Genomic DNA, 22,875 nt, shown 5'->3' with positions numbered 1-22,875 from the left:
ATTTGTGTGCCACTTTTAATTTGTCAAAGCACTGTCACATCTACTAGCTCACCTGATCTATGCCACCACATCAGAGGATACAGAAAGGTGGTATTAGGACATCTGACAGCCAAGGAAGCAGAGACTCCAGTGGTTAATGTCTAGCCCAGGACCACAGCTACTAGCAGAGGCTACACCTATACCCCTGACTTCACATCACACTCTGCCACACTCCCTCTCCTGTGTGAGGGCTCCCCCAGGAAAAGAGGAAAGACAGGAGCTATTCTAGGCAAAGTAACCTTAAATCTGAAAGCAGAAGATGAATTGCAAGGAAGTGCAGCTCCAGGACGTGTTCCCCTATCTTCCCATCAGAACTCAGCCAGCAGCCATGGACACAGGCCTCTCTTTCCTCTGCACTGCTTCCCCACCCTGGTTCCCGCTCTGGGGTAGGTCCCTCCCAGACCATTATGGCTGGGACGTGCAGCATCTTTTTTCTCTGCTTCTCCAGTAACAGCTGGTTCTGCTCAACTCCCAAAGATGATTTTCAAGAACCCCAACACTACTATCTGCCTGGGCTGCCAGAAAGAGAAAGGGCACCCTCAGAGACACTGAAGACCACCCTCCAGAAGCCGCCAGCACTTTCTATCATGTGACTAGCTCTGGGTGCTCCTTATCTAGCGAAAGGGGCTGGCTCAAATGGCACAGATATTGAAGATCTTCCTGAAGAAGACAGGAAGAGATGCTCAGGTCAGGGAGGGAATGAGACCCCTGGGGAAGGGACTCCTCCCAGCTGAGGAGTTGATTAGAAGCAATCTTGGAGTTGGCAGGAGCCTTAGAGACTGCCTGAGCCAGTCCGGGAAGCTGGCTGAGGAGCTTGGGAGCAAGAGACTAAAACCAGCCAAGTTTGGGACAGAAGGGAAGGAAAGGGTTGAGCAGCGAACAGAGAGACAAAGAACAGGCAGTTCCAAAGAGCCAAGAATGCAAATCATTTGCAGACGCCGCTGGCGAGAGCCTCCACCAAGGCTGCTGTGGGGGTGCCTGATGCCACGAGCACAGCCACTTCTACACGTCACGGTGAGCGTGAGCCCATGCATGTGAGTGTCCCCGCTGAGTCATTCCATGTGTGTAATGATTGTGTCAGTTGTGAGTCACCAATTGTGTGTCAGTCAGGGCGGGGTGTGTGTGTGCTCAGTGCACAAGCACGTGAGGGCTGCCAGTGCCCAGAGTGACAGTGGAATGTGAATGAGAGCCAGAGAACCCGAGGAGCTCAGAGCACTCCCAGGGGGAAGCTGTGTTTAAAGGGCACCACGCTTCATTCACACCGTACATCACACACCACATTTCTGAACACGTTCCAGAGAAAGCCATCTGTGCCCGCTTCCTGCTGAAACCCCCTATGGAGCAGCAGTGCTGAATTCTTCAGGCTCACGGGGTTGTTATCAGAGTCAGAGATGGCCACAATCTTAGAATCCTGCATTTCAAGCCCTTCGTTTTGCAGAGGGAGGAACTGTGGCAGAGAAAGCTGACACAATGGTCCCAGAGTCACAGAGCTAGCTGGTAGAAAAGCCAGGTGTGGACCCAGGTGTCTGTCCAGACTTCCCTGCCCAGGACTCGGTATGTCAGCACAAAGTGGGTCCTTTTTCCTTTTTTCAGCAGGGATGTGATGACATCACTTCTTTTAACTAAAATGCACCCAGATCTTCCCATGAAATGAAACCCTGATGTCACGTCCTAAAGGCTGGATTTGATGAATAGCCCAAAAGGCAAAGTTGGGGCATCTCTGGCCAGACGGTTCTAGACTGAGAGTCATTTGACCTATTTTCCAAGAGCCTTGCCCCACCCAGGTCAGGAGGAGTCCACAGGGAGACCCATTCTTAGGTCTCTAGGTCCAAGATTGGCCAGGCACTTTGGCAGCCTTGATGCTGTGTGATTCAGAAGCTGCTTATGAGATGTTTGCGGATGTCTCACACAGGACTCCTGACTCGTCATCCTGCCACCTTCCTGGTGGCCATTTCACAGCTCAATTTCTCCTGCCCCACAACAATGAAAAAATAAATGAAAGTAGGGGATTTATTTTAGCAGTTTTCAAATTGAGTATCTCAAAGGGTTTAATAGGTAAAGAGCCTAACCCTATTAACTAGTAAGTTGAGGTTTGGGGATTATCTGTTTCAATTACCCATTCCATTCATTCTTCTCAGATGGCTCAGAGTTGACCTGAACTTCAAAGGGATCACTTCAACCACTTATTTCATAATAATTATTTCATAATAATTAAGTAGTTACTATATACACAGCACTGTTGAGGCCATTCAATAGGCACAGACACTGCCCTACATCCCTGGAGAGCAGAGATTTATTATCTCATTTATCAGAACTTCAAAGCCCTTTCACTCCAATTACAGCTTGTCACTGACCATGGAGGCGGCTGAGGTGCTCAGGGCACATGAGGCAAGGAGAATGGGAGGGGCAGAGAAATCACTGCTCCAGACTAGATCTGGAGTGGAGTGGTCTTACATTTGGGCCCAGGTTCTACATTCATAAACTGGTGCTTTTCCCAACAGGGCTCTGCTAAAAACATGCCCTGGAAAGGGAGGTAAAAGGATGCCTTCTCAGCCGAGCGCGGTGGCTCACACCTGTAATCCCAGCACTTTGGGAGGCTGAGGGGGGGGTGGATCACCTGAGATCAGGAGTTCGAGACCAGCCTGACCAACATGGTGAAACCCCGTCTGCACTAAAAATACAAAAATTAGTCAGGTGTGGTGGCGCGCACACCTGTAATCCAAGCTACTCAGGAGGCTGAGGCAGGAGAATCGCTTGAACCTGGGAGGCGGAAGTTGCAGTGAGCTGAGATCGCGCCACTGCACTCTAGCCTGATTTTTTGAGACTCTGCCTCAAAAAAAAAAAAAAAGGATGCTTTCTCGTGTGGCAGACTGACAGACAGATTAAGGGTTGATATAGTAAGTGTCCTTCATATATGACACATGGGCCAAAAGAGTAGAATCACCAAATGTTTCCTTGAATATAAAAAAATATATTTGCAAGGGTGGTTATGTCAGCATTATGTGTAATTGCAGAAAGCTATAAAGGACCTGAAAAATCCATTGATAGGACATCAGTTAAATAAATCAATCATGGTACAACCATACACTGGCAGATAAGCAACTATAAAGAAGGAGTTAGATCTACCTACATTGACCCAAAGAGAGGCACAGGATTATTAGGTTTAAAAAAAGGAAAAGAGGCCGGGCACAGTGGCTCACTCCTATAATCCCTGCAGAGGCAGGAGGATCACTTGAGCCCAGGAGGTCAAGGCTGCAGTGAGCTATGATTGCGTCACTACACTCCAGCCTAGGTGACAGAGCCAGATAAAAGAAAGAGAGAGAAAGAAAAGAAAGAGAAAGAAAGAGAGAGAGGGAAGGAAGGAAGGAAGGAAGGAAGGAAGGAAGGAAGGAAGGAAGGAAGGAAGGAAGGAAGGAAGGAAGGGGAAGGGAAGGGAAGGGAAGGGAAAGGAAGGAAGGAAGGAAGGGGAAGGGAAGGGAAGGGAAGGGAAACGAAGGAAGGAAGAAAGAAAGGAAGGAAAGAAAGGTCGGGCTCGGTGGCTCACGCCTGTAATCCCAGCACTTTGGGAGGCCGAGGCGGGCGGATCACCTGAGGTCAGGAGTCCGAGACCAGCCTGACCAATATGGAGAAACCCTGTCTCTACTAAAAATACAAAATTAGCCGGGTGTGGTGGCGCATGCCTGTAATCCCAGCTACTCCGGAGGCTGAGGCAGGAGAATCACTTGAACCCGGGAGGCGAAGGTTTTGCGGTGAGCTGAGATCATGCTACTGCACACCAGCATGCCAGCCTGGGCGACAGAGCGGGACTCCGTCAAAAAAAAAAAAGAAAGAAAGAAAGAGAGAGAAAAGAAAAGAAAGAGCAAGGAACAGAATATGATCTTATTTTGCATTAAAAAATTAAAAGAGGTATCCTATAAGTAAATACGTATGTTTATATATTTGCATAAGTAAAAAAGAAAATAAGAAAATGTATACAAGTGGGAAAATGTGTAGTATATAAAAAATGTAGAGGGATACACGTGAAGCTGGTTATAATGTTTACTTCAGAGGGTGGGGTTAAAATGGGTAAGAAAATTAATATTTTGTATACATGTTTTGCCTTATCCATATAAGTTACAAATATGGATAAGTCAAAACATATTTAAGGCTTATACATACAAACTTTATACTTTATAAAGTTTATATTTATAAATATAATTTTTATATTTATAAATATTTATAAATATATAAATTTATAAATATATTTATAAATATAAACTTATATTAAATATATTAATAAACTTATAAACATATATATAACTTAAGAATAAAATGTATTACAAAAATAAAGAATAGACAAAAGGGGCTTGCAGATGCTGCCTGGCCACACTCATCCTTGGCGCTTGCCCCCATGGAGGCCTCATCTACTGTGACACTTGGAGAGCTGGCAGCCATCACTCAAGAAATCAGGACACATTTGGCCTCTGCTGCAGCATCAGGGAACAAAACAAGGACTAAGGCTGTCAGTTCTCAAGAAAAATACTGATGTGCATAATCGTATGTGACATAAATTTATTCAGTGACTTTGAGATATCTTACTCTAAAGAGATAAAATTAATTAAAACTAGTGCAAATTTCTGGCAACAGTATTCCAACTCCCCATTATTTATTGAGGGCATTGAAAATTGGAACACATCACAGATCCTTAAGTCATTCTCTGAATCCGGAGGAGAAAAGGGGAAGGCAGAGAGCACGCACCGTATGTGCCAGGCACTGGGCTGAGTGCTGCGCCTACACTATCCCACCTGATGCTTGCAATAACCCTGCAAGGCAGGAGTAAAAGGAACACACACATACACAAATACACTGACACACACACTCACACACATGATCACACACATACTCATACACTCACACTCAAGCATGCACTAGAAAATACAGAACAAAGCAAGCATTGGCAACTAATAGAAGTATAGTGCTGGCTAAGCACAATGGCTCACATCTATAATCCCGGAGCTTTAGGCTAGGAGTTCAAGACCTGGGCAACATAGCAAGATGCCATCTCTACAAAACATTTTTTAAATAAAAATCTTTTATTTTTCTTCAGATGGAGTCTCGCTCTGTCACCCAGGCTGGAGCCCAGTGGCGCGATCTCAGCTCACTGCAACCTCCACCTCCCAGGCTCAAGTGAGTCTCATGCCTCAGCCTCCCAAGTAGCTGAGATTACAGGTGTGAGGCACCACGCCTAGCTAATTTTATATTTTTAGTAGAGATGGGGTTTTGCCATGTTGGCCAAGCTAGTCTCAAACTCCTGACCTCAAGTGATCTGCCCGCCTTGGCCTCCCAAAATGCTGGGATTACAGGCTTGAGCCACCACACCTGACCTAAATAAAAATCATTTTTAAAAACAGGTATAGTGCCTCAGGGCTCAAGAAAGCAATACCCCTATTGCTGTATGGTAAACCGCAGGCAAGGCTACTGATCAGACCAGGGTAGTAGTAATTCCAGGGTTCTTTGCACACTTAGCCAGGAGACTGGCTAGCTCAGCACTGCCTGGGTTCGCTTTATCCTTTTTACCGCTCTAAAGCTCTGAGAGGCGGGACCTAAGCCTAAAAGGAAGTGAAATGAGGCAGCACTCTCTTCACTGCAAGTGATTGAAAACTAACTCAATCCAGCAAGGCAGCAAATTATTTGGCTCTCATAACTAAAAATGTCCATGAGTAGATGGCTTCTGGCTCAGTGGGATCAGGGGTCAGCTAATATCAACCAAGACTCATTCAGTCCCTTCATTTCTTCTGCATTGGCTCCATTTTTCAAGCAGGCTCTTTTGAGAGAGCAGCAAAGATGGCCCCGGTAATTCCATGTTACTTGCTGCCTTGCAAGTAGCTATTCCAATGAAAAGAAAGCACCTCATTCCCAGCAGTTTCAGCAAAAGTGCAGGGATGACTGTCATGGGCCTAGCTTGGGTCACATTCCCATTTCTGAATTAACTACCATGCTGATCTGATTGCCCAGGGTGGGTCAGCCCTTCCCATATCACATGGACTAGAAATGGGGTAGTGATCCTCCCATGAAAAAAAAAAAATGGAAGGATAGTGGCAAAGGAATATAGGAGGGATGTTGGACAAGCAGATGATAGATGCCCATCACAATGTCACGTAGAATCCTACCAATAAGAGGACAAGGATGGTGACTCATATCTGTAATCCCCATGACTCAAGAGGCTAAGGAAAGAGAATTACTTGAGGCTAAGTGTTCGAGACCAGCCTGGGCAACATAGTGAGACTTCATCTCAATTAAAAATTAGCTGGGCATGGTGGTGGACTCCTATAGTCCCAAGTACTTGGGAGCCTGGGGTTGGGGGACCACTTGAGGCCAGGATGTCAAGGCTGCAGTGAGCTATGATTGCACCACTGCACTCCAGCCTGGGCAATAGGCCAAGACCAGAAAGAAAGAAAGAAAGAGAGAGAGAGAGAGAGAGAGAGAGAGAGAGAGAGAAAGAAAGAAAGGAAAGGAAAGAAAGAAAGAGAGAAAGAGAAAGAAGAGAGAGAGGAAGGAAAGAAGAGAGAGGAAGGAAGGAAGGAAGGGAAACCCACCAACAAATTGTAAACTGTGAGAATGTGAGAAGCTGGTAGGCATTAGTTTTTTTGTTGTTGTTGGTTTTTGTTTTTTGTTTGAGTCGGAGTCTCGCTCTGTCACCCAGGCTGGAGTGCAGTGGCACGATCTCAGCTCGCTGCAACCTTCGCCTACCGGGTTCAAGCGATTCTCCTGCCTTGAGTAGCTGGGATTACAGGCGCCTGCCACCACACCAGCTTTTTGTATTTTTTTTGTATTTTTAGTAGAGACGGGGTTTCACCATATTGGTCAGGCTGGTCTCAAACTCCTGACCTCGTGATCTGCCCACCTTGGCCTCCCAAAGTGCTGGGATTACAGGCATGAGCCACTGCGCCCAGCCGGCATTAGTTTTTTATTTGTCATATCTTGGCCACCACAACGCCCTTGGAAATTGCTCAACATGACAGAAGTTCTGAAGACCCTGAGAACCCTCTGTTCCCATTGCCAAGGTTAAGGATTCAGGAAGGATGCCCAAGAACTCTGTGAAAACTCTTGTCAATAAATACTAGAACCATCAGTTCCTGACACCCCACACAGGATATGGGGAGTTCCAGTTGCCTAAAGAACTGTAACAGTAGAAGCTTCTCAATGCTAAGGAGGCTGGAAATGTCCTCCCAGGAGCCAAGGACCCAGGTTTCAGCTCAAGCTCTGCCTTTAACGAGCCACATGACCTTGAAAACATGCTTAAGTGTTGGGGGCGGTCAGAGCTTTCATATGTAAAATAAAGGGGCTGGGGAAAGCAACATGAAATGTAAAGTTGTCTCCAGCTTCAAAACTCTGATTCTAAGTCAGAGTCAGGAGATGGAAAAAGTTTATGGGTAAATAAACTTTTACCCATTGGTAAATGATTAAATAAATAAGTGAGAAAACAGTAGGCTAAAAAAAAAACAAACAAAACGAAAACCCACACCACACCCACCAGCCAAATCTGTGACAGTTTGAGCAATAAATAAATGCTAATAATAATGGATTATAACCCACTAATAAAATAACAGTCTACAAGTTCATACTGATATCCATCCATCCATTTATGCATACATGAGAAGGTCAAGGAAAAGCTCTTCTTACAGTAGAATGTTAACTAGTAAATTAACAAGGAATAACGATGTTACAAAATCATCAGTGGATATTTAAACTGGTGGTTAAAAGTTTGATGAGAAACAGGATATTTACAAAGTCTTAAGGCATCTCCCCATAAATTACTTATTAATTGCAAAGAGGAAACATAGTAACTTTACAGTGATGAAACCTGAAGGCTACTACCTTAACCAGTGATCAAAAGTTAACGTCCGCTGGCTGGGGGCAGTGGCTGACGTCTGTAATCCCAACACTTTGGGAGGCCAAGGCTGGTGGATCACCTGAGGTCAGGAGTTCGAGACCAGCCTGGCCAACATGGCGAAACCCCGTCTCTACTAAAAATACAAAAAATTAGCCAGGCTTGGTGGCAGGCGCCTGTAATCCCAGCTACTTGGGAGGCTGCGGAAGGAGAAACGCTTGAACCCGGGTGATGGAGGTTGTAGTGAGCCAAGACTGCGCCATTGCACCCCAGCCTGGGCAACAAGAGTGAAACTCCATCTAAAAAAAAAAAAAAAAAAGTTAACGTCCCCAGTGTTGGAATAGGCCAACCTCATGTATATCTTTGATACAGTGTTCTGAGAAGGTCACAGCATCTCCCCAGTGTCCTGCCCAAAACCCATAACCTGAATTTAATCACAAGAAATGTTACTTAATAATTGACCTGTACTATTTTAAAATGTCAAGGTATAATTTGAACTTTTTTGCCACACACAAAAAAAGTCAAGGTCATAAAACACAAAGAAGGTTAAGGATTTGCCCAATTTAAAAGAAACTGAAGAGACAATAACAACCAAATGCAATGTGTGATCCTGGATTAAATCCTGAATTGAGGAAAAAAATAGTTGTCAAGGATATTACTGAGTGTAATTGATGAAACTGAATATGGATGATGACGTGAGCATGCATAGCAACCTGCCTGGAGCTACGGTGTGGGTAGTCCAGGGACACCAAGCCCCCAAGCTCCAGCTAAGGCGTTCATTCCCGAGCCTGGGGACTGTGGCATCCAGCCCTCTGAAGCTGCGTGGTCCCAGGATTTCTTTCATCTTTTGCTTCCCTCTTCAAGCTTTCTGATTCATTCATTGGCATAGTCTGCTGGGAGAGGCAGCAGGAATGTCTGGAAGATTCTCCAGAGCCCCAACAGTCTGCCACCTTCACCTCTCACATCTACTTCAGCTCCAGTTCCTTCCCTGTCCCCACAGGGAGAGTCCATCCTAAACAAGGAGTTGGTGACCTGATGTCCCTGAGGAGCTCAGGAAGCCCTGATGCAGCGTGAGTTCAAGTCCCATGGGTATCCAGAGGGAACTTCCAACTGTGGTATCCCTTACACAGAAATACTTTCTGTAAACCACTCCTCCTTGCTTCCTCCCATCCTGACTCGCTGCCCAACCCCAGCTCCAGCATATTCCTCACCAGGAGGGAGCACTCACCCAGTTCAAAGCAGCACATCTGCCTGAGAGAAAAAAGCAAAGTCACCAATATGAGCCAAGTCACTGAGATGGAGGAAAAAATCTCTAGGCCACAGTCAGGATTCTAGTTCTCTTTTTTATTTATTTATTTTTATTTTTATATTTTTTTGAGGCAGTTGCCCAGGCTGGAGTACAATGGTGCAATCTTGGCTCACTGCAACCTCCGCCTCCCAGATTCAAGCGATTCTCCTGCCTCAGCCTCCTGAGTAGCTGGTACTACAGGCACGTGCCACCACACCTGGCTAATTTTTTGTATTTTTAATAGAAACGGGGTTTCACCATGTTAGCCAGGCTGGTCTCGAACTCCTGACCTCAGATGATCCACCCGCCTTGGCCTCCCAAAGTGCTGAGATTATAGGCATGAGCCACCGCGCCCGGCCTATTTTTTATTTTTTTAAGATATGGAAATCTGGCTACATTGCTCAGGCTCGACTTGAACTCCTGGCCTTATGTGGTCCTCCCCACTAAGCCTTCCAAGTAGCTGGGACAACAAGTGCATGCCACCACTCACAAACTAACTCTTATAACCACTTACTGAGGATCAGCCCTGTTGTAGGCATCGTGCTGTAAGTTTTACACACGTTTTCTTTCATCCTAATGATGCCCATGTTACGACAGAGGAACCCGAAGCCTCAGAGAGATTTAAATACTTCTCCATACCTCCCACAAGATTTTAAAATAAAATCCAAATGAATTCACAATCTAACTGTATTTTTTTTTCAATGAAGAAATGTAGAATATTTGTATAACTGCAGGAACTAGAGACCTGCACAGGCCAGACTCTGTACTAGAAGACATTAAAAACACACATTTGGTTATATAAAATGTGAAATATGGTAAAAGACACCTTAAACAAAACTAAAAGACAAAAGACTGAAAGAAACATAAGAATTGGTAGCCCATAACATAAGAATTGATAGCCCTAAATATACAAAGATTGCCTACAAATTGATTAGAAAAAGACAATCAGAAAAAGAGGGGCCATGTACAGTGGCTCACACCTGTAATCCCAGTACTTTGGGAGGCCAAGGCAGGAGGATCGCTTGAGTCTAGGAGTTCAAGACCAGTCTGGGCAACATAGTGAGACCCCCATTTCTACATAAATTGTTAAGGATTAGCCACGTGTGGTGGCATGTACCTGTAGTTCCAGTCACTCAAGAGACTGAGGTGGGAGGATCACTTGAACCCAGGAGTTCAAGTCGGCAGTGAGTTATGATCACACCACTGCACCCCAGCCTGGGCAACAGAACAAGACCCTGTCTCTAAAAAAAAATAAATTAAGTTAAATGTAAATTTAAAATAAATTATGGTACAACTATACTATGGCATATCATGCAGTTATCAAAAATATTAATGAATGCATGCCAACATATTGACCTAGACTGTAGATTTCCACACTATATTCTTAAACTTTAAAAAAGTGCATAGGGCTGGGTGCGGTGGCTCACGCCTGTAATCCCAGAACTTTGGGAGGCCAAGGCATGTGGATCACCTGAGGTCAGGAGTTCGAGACCAGCCTGAGCAACACGGTGAAACCCCATCTTTACTAAAAATCAAAAAAAAAAAAAAAAAAAAATTAACCAGGCGTGGCCGGGCACGATGTCTCACGCCTGTAATCCAGCACTTTGGGAGGCTGAGGCAGGCGGATCACAAGGTCAGGAGATTGAGATCATCCTGGCCAACATGGTGAAACCTCGTCTCTACTAAAAATACAAAAATTAGCTGGGCATGATGGTGCGCACCTGTAGTCCCAGCTACTTGGGAGGCTGAGGCAGGAGAAACCCTTGAATTCAGTAGGCAGAGGTTGCAGTGAACCAAGATTGCACCACTGCACTCCAGCCTGGGTGACAGAGTGAGACTCCATCTCCAAAAAATTAATTAATTAATTAATTAATTAAAATTTAAACACTTAAAAAATTAAAAAGTGCTGGGTGTGGTGGCTCAGGCCTGTAATCCCAGCACTTTGGGAGGCCGAGGCGGGTGGATCACGAGGTCAGGAGATCCAGACCATCCCGGCGAACACAGTGAAACCCCGTCTCTACTAAAAATACAAAAAAAAAAAAAAAAAATTAGCCGGGAGTGATGGCGGGCGCCTGTAGTCCCAGCTACTCGGGAGGCTGAGGCAGGAGAATGGCGTGAACTCGGGAGGCGGAGCTTGCAGTGAGCCGAGATCGCGCCACTGCACTCCAGCCTGGAAGACAGCGAGCCTCCGTCTCAAAAAAAAAAAGAAAAAGAAAAAAAGAAACAAAAACCCATATATGCATACATATGTTTGCTTCTGTTTCCCTTATCACACATTAAGTAGTGGAAATATGCAAGCAAACTTAGTACTGGTTACTTAGTAGACATAAGAGAGGCAAAGAGTAGCAAGAATGGTTCTTCAATTTGTTTTTGTATCCCTATTTAATTTAATTTGTTAGAAAAGAGCAGGTAACTTTTGTAACTTTCACAATTTTAAAAAATCGAGGAACTTCCAGGCTGGGAGCAGTGACTCATGCCTGTAATCCCAGCACTTTGGGAGGCCCAGGCAGGTGGGTCACTTGAGCTCAGGAGTTTGAGACCAGCCTGGGCAACATGACGAAACCTAGACTCTACTAAAAATACAAAAATTAGCCAGATATGGTGGCCTGTAGTCCCAGCTACTCGGGAGGCTGAGGTGGGAGGATCACCAGAGCCCAGGAGGTAGAGGCTGCAGTGAGCCCTGATTGCACCACTGCACTCCAGCCTGGGCAACCAGAGTGAGACCCTGTCTCAAAAATAAACAAATATCTCACTGTTATACTGAAACTTACTTTATTTAACAAATAAACATAAGTAAATAAATAATGAACTTCTTCAAATTCAAGGATCACTATGTACAGTTGTTCAGGTTCAGCACTGTATAAACGATCTGGGGTGGGAGGTATGTGTAGTATTCATATCTTCACATCGTACACGTCAGGGAATGAAGGAATGTGTGGAGACACCAGCCAAAGTTCTGAAGCTGCAGGGGAGAGTCCTCCCCTACTTAAAACCCACACCATACAATGGATCACACACACACTCAGAAGAGCCTGCACATACATTGCTGACACTCTCATATGCACCACTGTGCCTCTCCCAACCAAAATTCAGGTGACCCTGCACCCTTGGAGACCCAATTCTTTACCCTTCCTCACTTTGAACCTGGTATAACCCCTTTACTTAATGGAGGAATTCGGGTTAAGGCAAAGGTACAAGCTGCCAGAGGCATACATGCCCTGGCATTGGAGGGCAGGGGTGGGCAGGGAGCATGAGCAATGAGAGTGTGGCACATGTGTGCCCTCAGCCAGGAAGACTGCAGTGTAGATGTTCCGGAAAGCTCTCTGCTGGGCACAGCCAGGATAAGGCTGCCACGCACAGTTGTTCAAGCTATGCGGTAATATACTAAATTTAACACAATTTTACCTGAGCAAGGGGCATTGTTTTCCAATTTGCACAGAGATGCCATATGGGCAGACAGAAGCCCCACTAGTAATTGACAGAGACAGACTCCAACCCCAGGCTCTGCTTCATTATCAGCTGTATGACTTTGGAGATAAAAATAGGATCATGGATGTTACAGCACTTTTTGAAAAGTCGTAAATATAAGGTATCGTTATAAACAATTCTCCAGTTCTCCAGCCAGCAGACTGGCTGGAGATCATCTAATCTGTTCCCTGTCTCTAGGCTTATGAGAATACAGGCCACTGGGAGAGACTCGCATCTGTGGTTTCTTCAAAAACACAGCAGCCCACAGTGATCTCTCATTCTTCCATTTCTATCACATTCAGGTATGTACCAGGCATTTAGAAATCAGTGTGTTTTACAAGCTCAATAATCTTTCTTTGAGTGGGTAAGGTTTATATGTGTGGGATGTGTGTGTGTGTACATATATCTGTCCTCAATAATACCTGAAACTCCCAGAAGACAGACATTGTCCTTCTTTGCATTTCCTGTAGCCCTGTAGCACCTTACAGGTATTCATCAACTGTTTTCCCAGGTATCTTTTATTTATTTATTTTGAGACAGAGTCTCACTCTGTCACCCAGGCTGGAGCGCAGTGGTGCAATCTCAGCTCACTGCAACCTCCGCCTCCTGGGTTCAAGCAACCCTCCCACCACAGCCTCCCAAGTAGCTGGGACTACAGGCACATGCCACCACGCCCGGCTAATATTTCTATTTTTAGTAGAGATGGAGTTTTTGCCATGTTGGCCAGACCAGTGTCGAACTCCTGACCTCAGGTGATCCACCTGCCTCAGCCTCCCAAAATGCTGGGATTACAGGTGTGAACCACTGTGCCCAGCCTCCCAGTTATCTTAACTGTGTTAAGATATCACTGCCCGTTTAGTCTAGATTTAAACAAATGAAAGCTCTTCTAATAGAGATGAAATTAAATAACATATAGATGATACCTAGACAGTACTTTGTCTATGATAGATGCTTATAAACTTATAAATATTTCTTTCCCTTTACTTATGATGAAAAGCGAATAGCATTCATTCAACAACATTCATTCAAGGCCTTTTTTTTTTTTTTTTTTTTTTTTGAGACGGAGTTTCGCAATTGTGGCCCAGGCTGGAGTGCAATGGCACTATCTTGGCTCACCGCAACCTCTGCCTCCTGAGTTCAAACAATTCTCCTGTCTCAGCTTCCCAAGTAGCTGGGATTACAGGCATGTGCCACCATGCTTGGCTAATTTTGTATTTTTAGTAGAGACGGGGTTTCTCCATGTTGGTCAGGCTGGTCTCAAACTCCCGACCTCAGGTAATTCGCCTGCCTCAGCCTCCCAAAGTGCTGGGATTACAGGCATGAGCCACCATGCCCAGCCAAGGCCATTTGTTATGTATCAGGCAATGTACTGGGTATTGGGGATAAAATGATACGTAAAAAAGTCTTTTCTCAAGTTCTGTGGGTCATCTGGCCAGAAAAAATGGCCTTGATGGTGAACTCCCATGTTATGTGAAGTTGTAAACAGGCACTTTTGGATGGAGCATAACGAAGGGATAATTGGATGTAGTCGTGATTTTCTAGGGTTGGAAGAGGGTAGGAGATGGCAGTTTGGAAGGTGATGTTTGAACAGGGTCTTGAAGGATAACTAGGAGTTCACAGAGATGAAAAACAACAAAAGCATCATAACTAGAAGAAGCAGAATAAGAGAAGCCACTCACAATTTTTAAAGTTAGTTTGAAGATAACCACCTTCTTGAACAGAACTATGACTCATGCAATGCCAGGGAAATGACCCCAAATCAAAATCAGCTGATTGGAAGAGAGAAAAGCACTTCAGACCTGGGCCCTCCATCCACCATCCCACCCCTAGGTCTCTTCCAGGCCTGACACTAGCCTTTACCAACTTGTAGTTTAAAGGCATTTGTGACTGTTTTGTTTTGTTTTAACGGAGCCTTGCTGTCACCCAGGCTGGAGTGTGGTGGTGCAATCTCAGCTCACTGCAACCTCTGCCTCCTGGGTTCAAGCGATTCTCCTGCCTCAGTCTCGCGGGTAGCTGGGATTACAGGCACCTGCCACCACGCCAGGCTAATTTTTGTATTTTTAGCAGAGACGGGGTTTCACCATGTTGGGCAGGCTGATCTCGAACTCCTGACCTCAAGTGATCTGCCCACCTTGGTCTCCCAAAGTGTTGGGATTATAGGCGTGAGCCACAGCACCCGGCCGTAAAGGGGTTTGTGGCTTTTTAAAGTTTGCAAGTTATTATTTTCCTTTATCTAGAAAAGAGCTGTTTTTAAAGCCAAAGACTAAAAGTTACAAGCAGCCCCAGGTATTTATTTTAAAACTGAGAATTTCCCCGAGGCCTGAAATTTGGTGTCTGGGTTCCAGGCCTGGGGGTAATTGTTGGGTTCCCCTCTCAGACCTGCCCTCCCACCCTGCACCATCTGTTCAGCAGGGCACAGCTTCCCAAAGGTCTGCCCAGTCCTCTCCTGGTAACCCTACCTGGGGAGAAAAGCCACTCCTATGACCCACCAGATCAAAGATAGAGCCCAAAGTGTTTACAGTATCAGCTTTCGCTCCCCAGAGGGAAGGGCTGTATCTTTCTTTATGGCTACAAAACCAACGGTGGCTTTGTGAATGACCGGCCCTGTTGGCACCTCCAGGCACAGGAGCCCAGCTGCTGCCCCAGCCCAGGGAGGGAGGGAGGCTGCGGACAGGGCATCCAGCCCGAGAACAAAGCTATCAGCCCCATCTCTGCAGGGTACCAGCCTCGCCCTCACACCTGCCAGGCGGGGGCCTTTTCTTTCTCAGTTAACTTCGTCTGCCTGGTTCAGCACCAGGCACACTGGAGACTCTCCGGGTTTGCGGTTTATCGGCAGCCCAGTTTTGTGACAAGACCTTTGAGATCTGGCCTCAGGAGATGTGGGTGATACTCTTCCTCCACCTATGACCAGGTGCCTGTCTGAGCCTCAGTTGAGCCTCAGTTTCCCCATCTTTTTTTTTTTTTTTTTTTTTTTTGAGACGGAGTCTCGCTCTGTCGCCCAGGCTGGAGTGCAGTGGCGCGATCTCGGCTCACTGCAAGCTCCGCCTCCCGGGTTCACGCCATTCTTCTGCCTCAGCCTCCTGAGTAGCTGGGACTACAGGCGCCCGTCACTACGCCCGGCTAATTTTTTGTATTTTTAATAGAGACGGGGTTTCAACGTGTTAGTCAGGATGGTCTCGATCTCCTGACTTTGTGATCTGCCCGCCTCGGCCTCCCAAAGTGCTGGGATTACAGGCGTGAGCCACCACACCCGGCCAGTTTCCCCATCTTTAAATGATGGTGATCATCAAGGTCAGGAGATCGAGACCATCCTGGCTCAGATGGTGAAACCCCATCTCTACTAAAAATACAAAAAATTAGCCAGGCCTGGTGGCGGGTGCCTGTAGTCCCAGCTACTCAGGAGGCTGAGGCAGGAGAATGGCGTGAACCCGGGAGGCGGAGCTGCCAGTGAGCCAAGATGGCGCCACTGCACTCCAGCCTGGGCGACAGAGCGAGACTCCGTCTCAAAAAAAAAAAAAAAAAAAAAAAAGATGGTGATCATCATGTCTGACCTGGCTGCCTTTCAAGATTGGTCACTCATGTAAAAGGGCAGCACCGTGGGGCAGCAGAGGCAGCGCAGGGTGGAGGCTGAGGGCTCAGCTCGAGTTTACCAGCCAGGCTGTTATTTCCTAGTTATGTGACCCCAAGCAAGTTATGTAACCTCTCTGATGCCTCAGTGTTCCTCATCTGTAAAATGGGATTATAAGAGTTCCTGCTTCACAGGGTCATTAGGAGGATTAAATGAGATCATGTTTATAAAGAGCTTAGGACAGCATCTGGCACATAATACAGCTTAGCCAGCATCTACTCTGTGGATGGTGCGGGGTGGGGGGGTTTACAGAGATCAAAGGCACCGAGCTCACAGCATGGTGACTGCGAAGAGAATCAAATGAAATAACAATTGCAAAGGCAAATCAGGTCATTAACCCCGCATGCACACCCCACTTCAAACATCGTGTGTGTGTGTCTGTCTGTGTCTGTCTGTGTCTCCACTGCATGTTGTGATACCTGCCTCCCTCTCCATCCCCTCAGTCATTACCCTCCAGCCACACTGGACTCCTTTCTTGTCCTGGAACCTATCAAACTCTTTCCTGTCTCAAGCCTCCGCAGTCCTCTCTGCTTGAACTGTGGCTCCTGCAGAGAAAGCATCAGAATCTCCGGGGAACTGATTGGAAATGCACATTCTCCAGCCCCGCCCAGAACTCCTGAATTAGAAACCCTGGGGTGGGACAAGCAAGCCGTGCTTTCTGGGGCACAGGTGATTCTGGTGTGTGCTGAAGTTTAAGAACCACTGGCCGAGAACATTCTTAGGTCTGCTCTTCTTTTGCCCGGCCCCTCCCTCGCGGAGGAATTCCTTCTTATTCCTCTCTGAAGAGTGGCTGCTGCCAAAAAACGTTTGTGAGATGGCCTGGGTTTTCTTTGTTGATTTATCATTTAGTTTGGAAGAAATCAGAAGTCTCTTTAAGAAGCCAATTTGAAACATTCACCCCATGGGAACAGTTCTGGATGAAGTCAGAAGATCTGGAGGCAGCGCAGTAACACACGTAGGTTTTCTGGCCATATGGACATTTCAGAGAAAACAACGCACAGAGGCCTGGAGCAGGTGAACTGGCTTAAGTAGAGAGAAACTAAGTCATTTGGGGATATTTAGCACCTAATGTCAAGGCAGAAATGTCTAAGATGTAATTAACAGTTATATTCTAATCTCAATAGTAGCTAAGTACAGACTTAAACATAAGCCTGTATATAACAAAATAACCCCAGGAGAACCAAAGAAAATCTAGAAGTTGCTGCTAAAAACAGTTATGTTAGTGATACCTAGGAAAGTTTTTTTTCTTTTAACATGTCATTGTGGTTTACAAATGAAAATTGAGGCCGGGCGTGGTGGCTCACGCCTGTAATCCCAGCACTTTTGGAGGCCAAGGTGGGCGAATCACAAGGTCAGGAGTTCAAGACCAGTCTGGCCAACATGGTGAAACCCCATCTTTACTAAAAATACAAAAAATTAGCTGGGCGTGGTGGTGGGCGCCTGTAATCTCAGCTACTAGGGAGGCTGAGGAAGGAGAATCGCTTGAACCTGGGAGGCGGAGGTTGCAGTGAGCCAAGATCATGCCACCGCACTCCAGCCTGGGCAACAGTGTGAGACTCCATCTCAAAACAAACAAACAAACAAATGAAACAAATGAAAATTGAAACTTCACCCATTTATGGCTATTGCCTAAAGAATTTATAAATGCCTGGGTCATTGCAAGCATATTGCTGACATGTCTCTCGGTCTGCGTTACCCTGGTGGACATCACGACACTCACCTGACAGGCAGCAGCTTCCTTCCAGTAAAAGCAAAGAATCTGAAAGGAATGGAAAAGGCTCCACACAGTGCCATTTTATAGAAGGAAATGCAACAAGGTCACAGACCAGAAGGACAGCAGCCCAGGCCGGCTGGGCATGGAGGAAGTCCCAAGATGCTGCTGGGCATGAACAGACCTCCTCATACAGTGTGCCTCTGAAGAAATAATGCAATTGTGTGGGGCCAGAGGAGCCACAAATAGAACAAAGGGAGGAAAGGAAAAATCAATATGCAGTAAAGAGGAGGAAGGGAGCCCGGCGCGATGTCTGAATCTCGCTGGCAAGAAAAGGAAACAGGTGGTCTAAGCAGGCAACCCTTCACCCCACATTGTAATGCTGGGGCATGGACGTGTTCCATAGATCACTCACTGAGAAGTCTTCACAAGAACACTCCAAGGCAGACACTACTATCCATCTTCCACACACTGGGGGATTGAGAGTCAGAAGGATTATACAGCTTGTTCAAATTATAAATAAAAGCCCTGAGATTTGAGCCCAGGGTCCCAAGCTCTTTCTAAGCCACCATAGCTGCCTGGTCTATAAGGCAACTCCCCGAATATGAGCTGCAGCGAACTTGGGGGCAGATAGGACCACCTTACCTGTGTTATGGAGTTGGCTTCCCCAGGATGATCCACCTGGGAAACAGCCTCTGGGGAAACCTGACTCCTTCCCCTCCCTGCTCTGCACAAACTGATGTTATCTCTGCAAGCAGTCAGAGGGAGAGCTGCAAGTGGCCTTCACCGGGGCCTCGGGAAAGGGACACCTTTCTCCTTAGCTCCCTGTTCCCAACTCTTCCTGGAGGATGTGTTATAGAGAAAAGGGATACTCAGAGAAGCAGGAAATGGCAACCTTGGAGCTCCCAGCACTGGAATCTGCATTCTTTCCTAGTTGGCCCCTTTCCGGGGGAAAAGTGGGGGATCCCTTTTACTGCTCCACACCCTGAGCCCCTGGGACCCAGTAGTGCCCCCCTCCCTCCTTTCCACCCTGCAGCGTTTTTCACTGGAGAGTAAAACAGAACTCAATAAATCAAAGTGGTTTCCCCAGCAACCGTGGGAGAAGCAGGTTTACTTACGCCAGGTAAATAATGCATGAGCTCGGGCTGAGAAATACAGTGACCAAGTTCATGTTACTAACAGGTTCACTGAACCTCCAGGCTGGGCTTCTGAGCCGCAGTCTCAGGGGATAAGGTTGCAGTTCCCCACCAGGCCCTCCTCTCCAAAGGAATCCTTTCTGTATTCAGGCTTTTTGTTTTTTGGGTATTCTTTTTCTTTTCCCCGGTCTCACTGTGCTATATCCTACTCCCTGAATCAGATTGCCTCTGCCTTCGACAGCCAAGAGACTAGGTACCCATTCTCTGAGAGGCTTCTCCTGCTTTAAAGACAGGGCATATATTGGGAGATGCTGGATTTTGCAAAGTCAGGCTGGCTCCCTTGTCTCCTTGGGTCTGCCGGAAGACAGTTGGCTTCCAGATCCATTAGGTATATCTGACAGGTCAGCCAGGTCCCCACGTTCCCTGGCACAGATGGACTGCCAAGAAGAAATGTAAACTGAACCAAATTGTGAAAGAACAACTTGTGATGAAGACCGTGTGCTCCTCCCTCCTCCCGAGAATAACTGATACTCTCTCTCTCCCCTCTCAGATGTTTGACTCTCTCTGATTTGTACTCTGAAAGTAATAAGTTCTTCTTAAAAAAAAAATTTATAAATACTAAATTATAGTATAATGTAGAAAAATCTTTTTTCAAACTGCCCTCTCCCAATCTAAAACATCCCCTACCATGTCCCCACCCTAAAGAGAATTTCTCATTTTTAAATGATAGAAAAATTGGCCGGGTGTGGTGGCTCACGCCTGTAATCCCAACACTTTGGGAGGCCGAGGCAGGCGAATCACCTGAGGTCAGGAGTTCGAGACCAGCCTGGCCAACATGGTGAAACCCCGTCTCTACTGAAAATACAAAAATTAGCCGGGCGTGATGGTGCGTTCCTGTAGTCCCAGCTACTCAGGAGGCTGAGGCAGGAGAATTGCTTGAATCCAGGAGGTGGAAGTTGCAGTGAGCTGAGATCACACCACTGTACTCCAGCCTGGGTGACAGATCAAGACTCCATCTAAAAAATATATATATATAATATATATTTATAAATATTTATATATAATATATATTTATAAATATTTTTATATATATAATATATATAATATATAATATATAATATATATTTATATATATTATATATAATATTATATATAATATATATAATATATAATATATAATATATATTTATATATATAATATATAATATTATATATAATATATAAATATATATAATATATAATATTATATATAATATATAAATATATATAAATATATATTTATAAATATTTATATATATAAAATTCCTATGGAGAAAAAAATTAAGAAGTTGCCTCAACACAGGCAACGAGATTTAGGCAACTAATGCCATTTATTCTCTCTAACATATTAATGGTATTATAAAATGGTCTGAAAGCCGACCTTGTATACAGTATCAAAGTGTTAATGAGTAACTATCTATGGAAATGCCCCGATTAAAAGCCTTCCTGTTCCCCAGGTGGAAAGGAAGTAATTCACATTGACAACAGATGCAGCCCCCTGATGCAAAATGAGGCAAGTCTTCAGGGAGTATCATAGCAACCTCACTGGTCTGTGAAAATTATAGCAGTTTCGCATTAAAACCTGAAAACTGAACAGCCAAATCTGTTGGAAAAACTACAGGGGGAAAAAAAGCCCCTGGAGCAAATGTAAATAAGACAACTAAAAAAAACCTTCAGGTACCTATTAAAGCAGATACCTATTAGGTAAAATCATACGGATAAAGCAAGGTCTAGCTTGTGACTGAAATAAAGTACGATGTTTGGTCAGGACTACACAGTTGCTTAGGGGACTCAGGATCATGCATTCACCACTAAACATTATGACAGGCACATAAGAAATGGCCGGTGCAGTGGCTCACACCTGTAATCCCAAAACTTTGGGAGGCTGAGGCAGGCAGATCACCTGAGGTCAGGAATTTGAGACCAGCCTGCACAACATGGAAAAACCCTGTCTCTACTAAAAATACAAAAAATTAGCAGGGCGTGGTGGCAGGCATTTGTAATCCCAGCTACTTGGGAGGCTGAGACAGGAGAATTGCTTGAACCCGGGAGGCGGAGGTTGCAGTGAGCCGAGATCGCACCGTTGCACTCCAGAATGGGCAACAAGAGCAAAACTCCGTCTCAAAAAAAAAAAAGAAAAAAGAAGGAAAGAAAAGAAAGAAAGGGAAGGGAACGGAAGGGAAGGGAAGGGGAGGGAAGGGGAGGGGAGGGGAGGGGAGAGGAGGGGAGAAGAGAAGAGAGGAGAAGAGAGGGGAAGGGAAGGGGAGGGAAGGGGAGGGGAGGGGAGAGGAGGGGAGAAGAGAAGAGAGGAGAAGAGGGGAAGAGAAGAGAGGAGAAGAGAAGAGAGGAGAAGAGAAGAGAAGAGGAGCCGGGCGCGGTGGCTCATGCCTGTAATCCCAGCACTTTGGGGGGCCGAGGCAGGTGGATCACAAGGTCAGGAGTTCAAAACCAGCCTGGCCAAGATGGTGAAACCCCATCTCTACTAAAAATACAAAAAAAAAAAAAAATTAGCTGGGCGCAGTAGCAGGCGCCTGTAATCCCAGCTACTCAGGAGGATGAGGCAGGAGAATTGCTTGAACCCAGGCAGCAGAGGTTGCAGTGAGCCAAGATCATACCACTGCACTCCAGCCTGGACAACAGAGTGAGACTCCATCTCAAAAAGAAAGAGAGAAAGAACGAAAGAAAGAAAGAAAGAACGAAAGAGAGAAAGAACGAACGAAAGAAAGAAAGAAAGAAGAAAAGAGAAGAGAAAAGAAAAGAAAGGAAAAGGAAAGGAAAGGAAAAAGAAAAGAAAAGAAAAGAAAAGAACATGCTCGGTAACAACCAACTGACGAAATGACTGGAGGTATAATTGGGGGACGTGCCACCCTGTCTCCCACAGATCCTGCAAACAGGTATGTAATGATGACACAGCAGTAGTTAGCCCTCAAATATGGGCTGATAAATGGATTCGTGCAATATGGTAGCACAACCTGAAGAATGCTTTGGAAAATCACCACCACAAAATGTGCTGGGATTGAGTTGTAACAGTAGATCAACAAATCCTGTTCCACTGAGCAAACAGTCTGTCTGTTGGAGAATATGAATAATTACTCCGGAAGTTATCAACAGAAACACAAAAGTCTTGATAGAAAATCACAGAACTTATTATTTTTTTTTTAATAAAACAATGCGTGTCCCCAGCAGAACAGTCCTAGAGTAACTATGGAAACTGAGAAACTCTTATAGTAAAATCTGCTATCCCTTTGGGAGCTGGAGAGGTTTCCAGACACTCACTGCCCATCTTTCAGGTATCAGAACTTAGCACACTTTGGCATCCATTCAAAAGGCAGTACAGTTAGACACTTGCCATATCAGCATGACATTCCTGTCCCAACAACAGATTATTTCCACATTGTTAGCTATTAATCCCGCAAGGACTGTTACAAGTTACACAAACACAATCACATTATACCTTAAAGTTTCACGGTATCGATAGTATTTTCAAAGCACTATTGCACTTTTATTAAACTTTTTTTTCAGTTTCTTTTTTTCTCTTAGAGTCAGGGGTCTCACTCTGTTGCCCAGGTTGCAGTGCAGTGGCGTGATCATGTCTCACTGCATATTTTTGTTTCTATGCTCTCATTTTACTACCCACAAGAAAACTGTGGGACTAGTTGAGCTAGCATTTGACAAGAGAGAAAACTAAAGCACAGT

General features: G+C 45.4%; 1 long non-coding RNA gene across 1 annotated transcript, besides 11 other annotated features; it reads left to right on the top strand.

The window, feature by feature from the left end:
* Positions 36-1,003: an enhancer, noted in NCBI's record as "OCT4-H3K27ac-H3K4me1 hESC enhancer chr8:38385891-38386858 (GRCh37/hg19 assembly coordinates)". NCBI's record gives its function as "activates a minimal SCP1, AML or CMV promoter by ChIP-STARR-seq in primed H9 embryonic stem cells {active_cell/tissue: H9 hESC(primed)}" and the evidence as "EXISTENCE:reporter gene assay evidence [ECO:0000049][PMID:30033119]".
* Positions 36-1,971: a biological region, named in NCBI's record as "P300/CBP strongly-dependent group 1 enhancer GRCh37_chr8:38385147-38386346".
* Positions 548-1,747: an enhancer, noted in NCBI's record as "P300/CBP strongly-dependent group 1 enhancer chr8:38385147-38386346 (GRCh37/hg19 assembly coordinates)". NCBI's record gives its function as "activates an origin of replication core promoter dependent on BRD2, BRD4, P300/CBP, MED14 and CDK7 cofactors, with strong dependence on P300/CBP, by STARR-seq in HCT116 cells {active_cell/tissue: HCT116}" and the evidence as "EXISTENCE:reporter gene assay evidence [ECO:0000049][PMID:35650434]".
* On the top strand, positions 714-18,542 carry LINC03042 (long intergenic non-protein coding RNA 3042). Its single transcript, NR_167676.1, has 3 exons — positions 714-1,053; positions 12,864-12,967; positions 16,737-18,542. It is a non-coding gene; the product is annotated as a long intergenic non-protein coding RNA 3042 (long non-coding RNA).
* Positions 871-1,165: an enhancer, noted in NCBI's record as "tiled region #13; HepG2 Activating non-DNase unmatched - State 4:PromP, and K562 Activating non-DNase unmatched - State 21:Repr". NCBI's record gives its function as "activates a minimal TATA promoter and a strong SV40 promoter by Sharpr-MPRA in HepG2 and K562 cells {active_cell/tissue: HepG2 | K562}" and the evidence as "EXISTENCE:reporter gene assay evidence [ECO:0000049][PMID:27701403]".
* Positions 1,004-1,971: an enhancer, noted in NCBI's record as "OCT4-H3K27ac-H3K4me1 hESC enhancer chr8:38384923-38385890 (GRCh37/hg19 assembly coordinates)". NCBI's record gives its function as "activates a minimal SCP1, AML or CMV promoter by ChIP-STARR-seq in primed H9 embryonic stem cells {active_cell/tissue: H9 hESC(primed)}" and the evidence as "EXISTENCE:reporter gene assay evidence [ECO:0000049][PMID:30033119]".
* Positions 1,060-1,109: an enhancer, noted in NCBI's record as "active region_27252". NCBI's record gives its function as "activates an Ori minimal core promoter by ATAC-STARR-seq in GM12878 lymphoblastoid cells {active_cell/tissue: GM12878}" and the evidence as "EXISTENCE:reporter gene assay evidence [ECO:0000049][PMID:35858748]".
* Positions 6,846-7,804: an enhancer, noted in NCBI's record as "OCT4-NANOG-H3K27ac-H3K4me1 hESC enhancer chr8:38379090-38380048 (GRCh37/hg19 assembly coordinates)". NCBI's record gives its function as "activates a minimal SCP1, AML or CMV promoter by ChIP-STARR-seq in naive H9 embryonic stem cells {active_cell/tissue: H9 hESC(naive)}" and the evidence as "EXISTENCE:reporter gene assay evidence [ECO:0000049][PMID:30033119]".
* Positions 9,438-9,939: an enhancer, noted in NCBI's record as "OCT4 hESC enhancer chr8:38376955-38377456 (GRCh37/hg19 assembly coordinates)". NCBI's record gives its function as "activates a minimal SCP1, AML or CMV promoter by ChIP-STARR-seq in primed H9 embryonic stem cells {active_cell/tissue: H9 hESC(primed)}" and the evidence as "EXISTENCE:reporter gene assay evidence [ECO:0000049][PMID:30033119]".
* Positions 16,006-16,583: an enhancer, noted in NCBI's record as "OCT4-NANOG-H3K4me1 hESC enhancer chr8:38370311-38370888 (GRCh37/hg19 assembly coordinates)". NCBI's record gives its function as "activates a minimal SCP1, AML or CMV promoter by ChIP-STARR-seq in naive H9 embryonic stem cells {active_cell/tissue: H9 hESC(naive)}" and the evidence as "EXISTENCE:reporter gene assay evidence [ECO:0000049][PMID:30033119]".
* Positions 16,584-17,162: an enhancer, noted in NCBI's record as "OCT4-NANOG hESC enhancer chr8:38369732-38370310 (GRCh37/hg19 assembly coordinates)". NCBI's record gives its function as "activates a minimal SCP1, AML or CMV promoter by ChIP-STARR-seq in naive H9 embryonic stem cells {active_cell/tissue: H9 hESC(naive)}" and the evidence as "EXISTENCE:reporter gene assay evidence [ECO:0000049][PMID:30033119]".
* Positions 17,833-18,631: an enhancer, noted in NCBI's record as "OCT4-H3K27ac hESC enhancer chr8:38368263-38369061 (GRCh37/hg19 assembly coordinates)". NCBI's record gives its function as "activates a minimal SCP1, AML or CMV promoter by ChIP-STARR-seq in primed H9 embryonic stem cells {active_cell/tissue: H9 hESC(primed)}" and the evidence as "EXISTENCE:reporter gene assay evidence [ECO:0000049][PMID:30033119]".

This window comes from Homo sapiens, chromosome 8 (assembly GCF_000001405.40).
Source record: "Homo sapiens chromosome 8, GRCh38.p14 Primary Assembly".
In the NCBI taxonomy this organism is placed as follows: domain Eukaryota; kingdom Metazoa; phylum Chordata; class Mammalia; order Primates; family Hominidae; genus Homo; species Homo sapiens.
The sequence above is the reverse complement of the archived record's forward strand: the minus strand, read 5'-3'. Positions and strand labels throughout refer to the sequence as shown.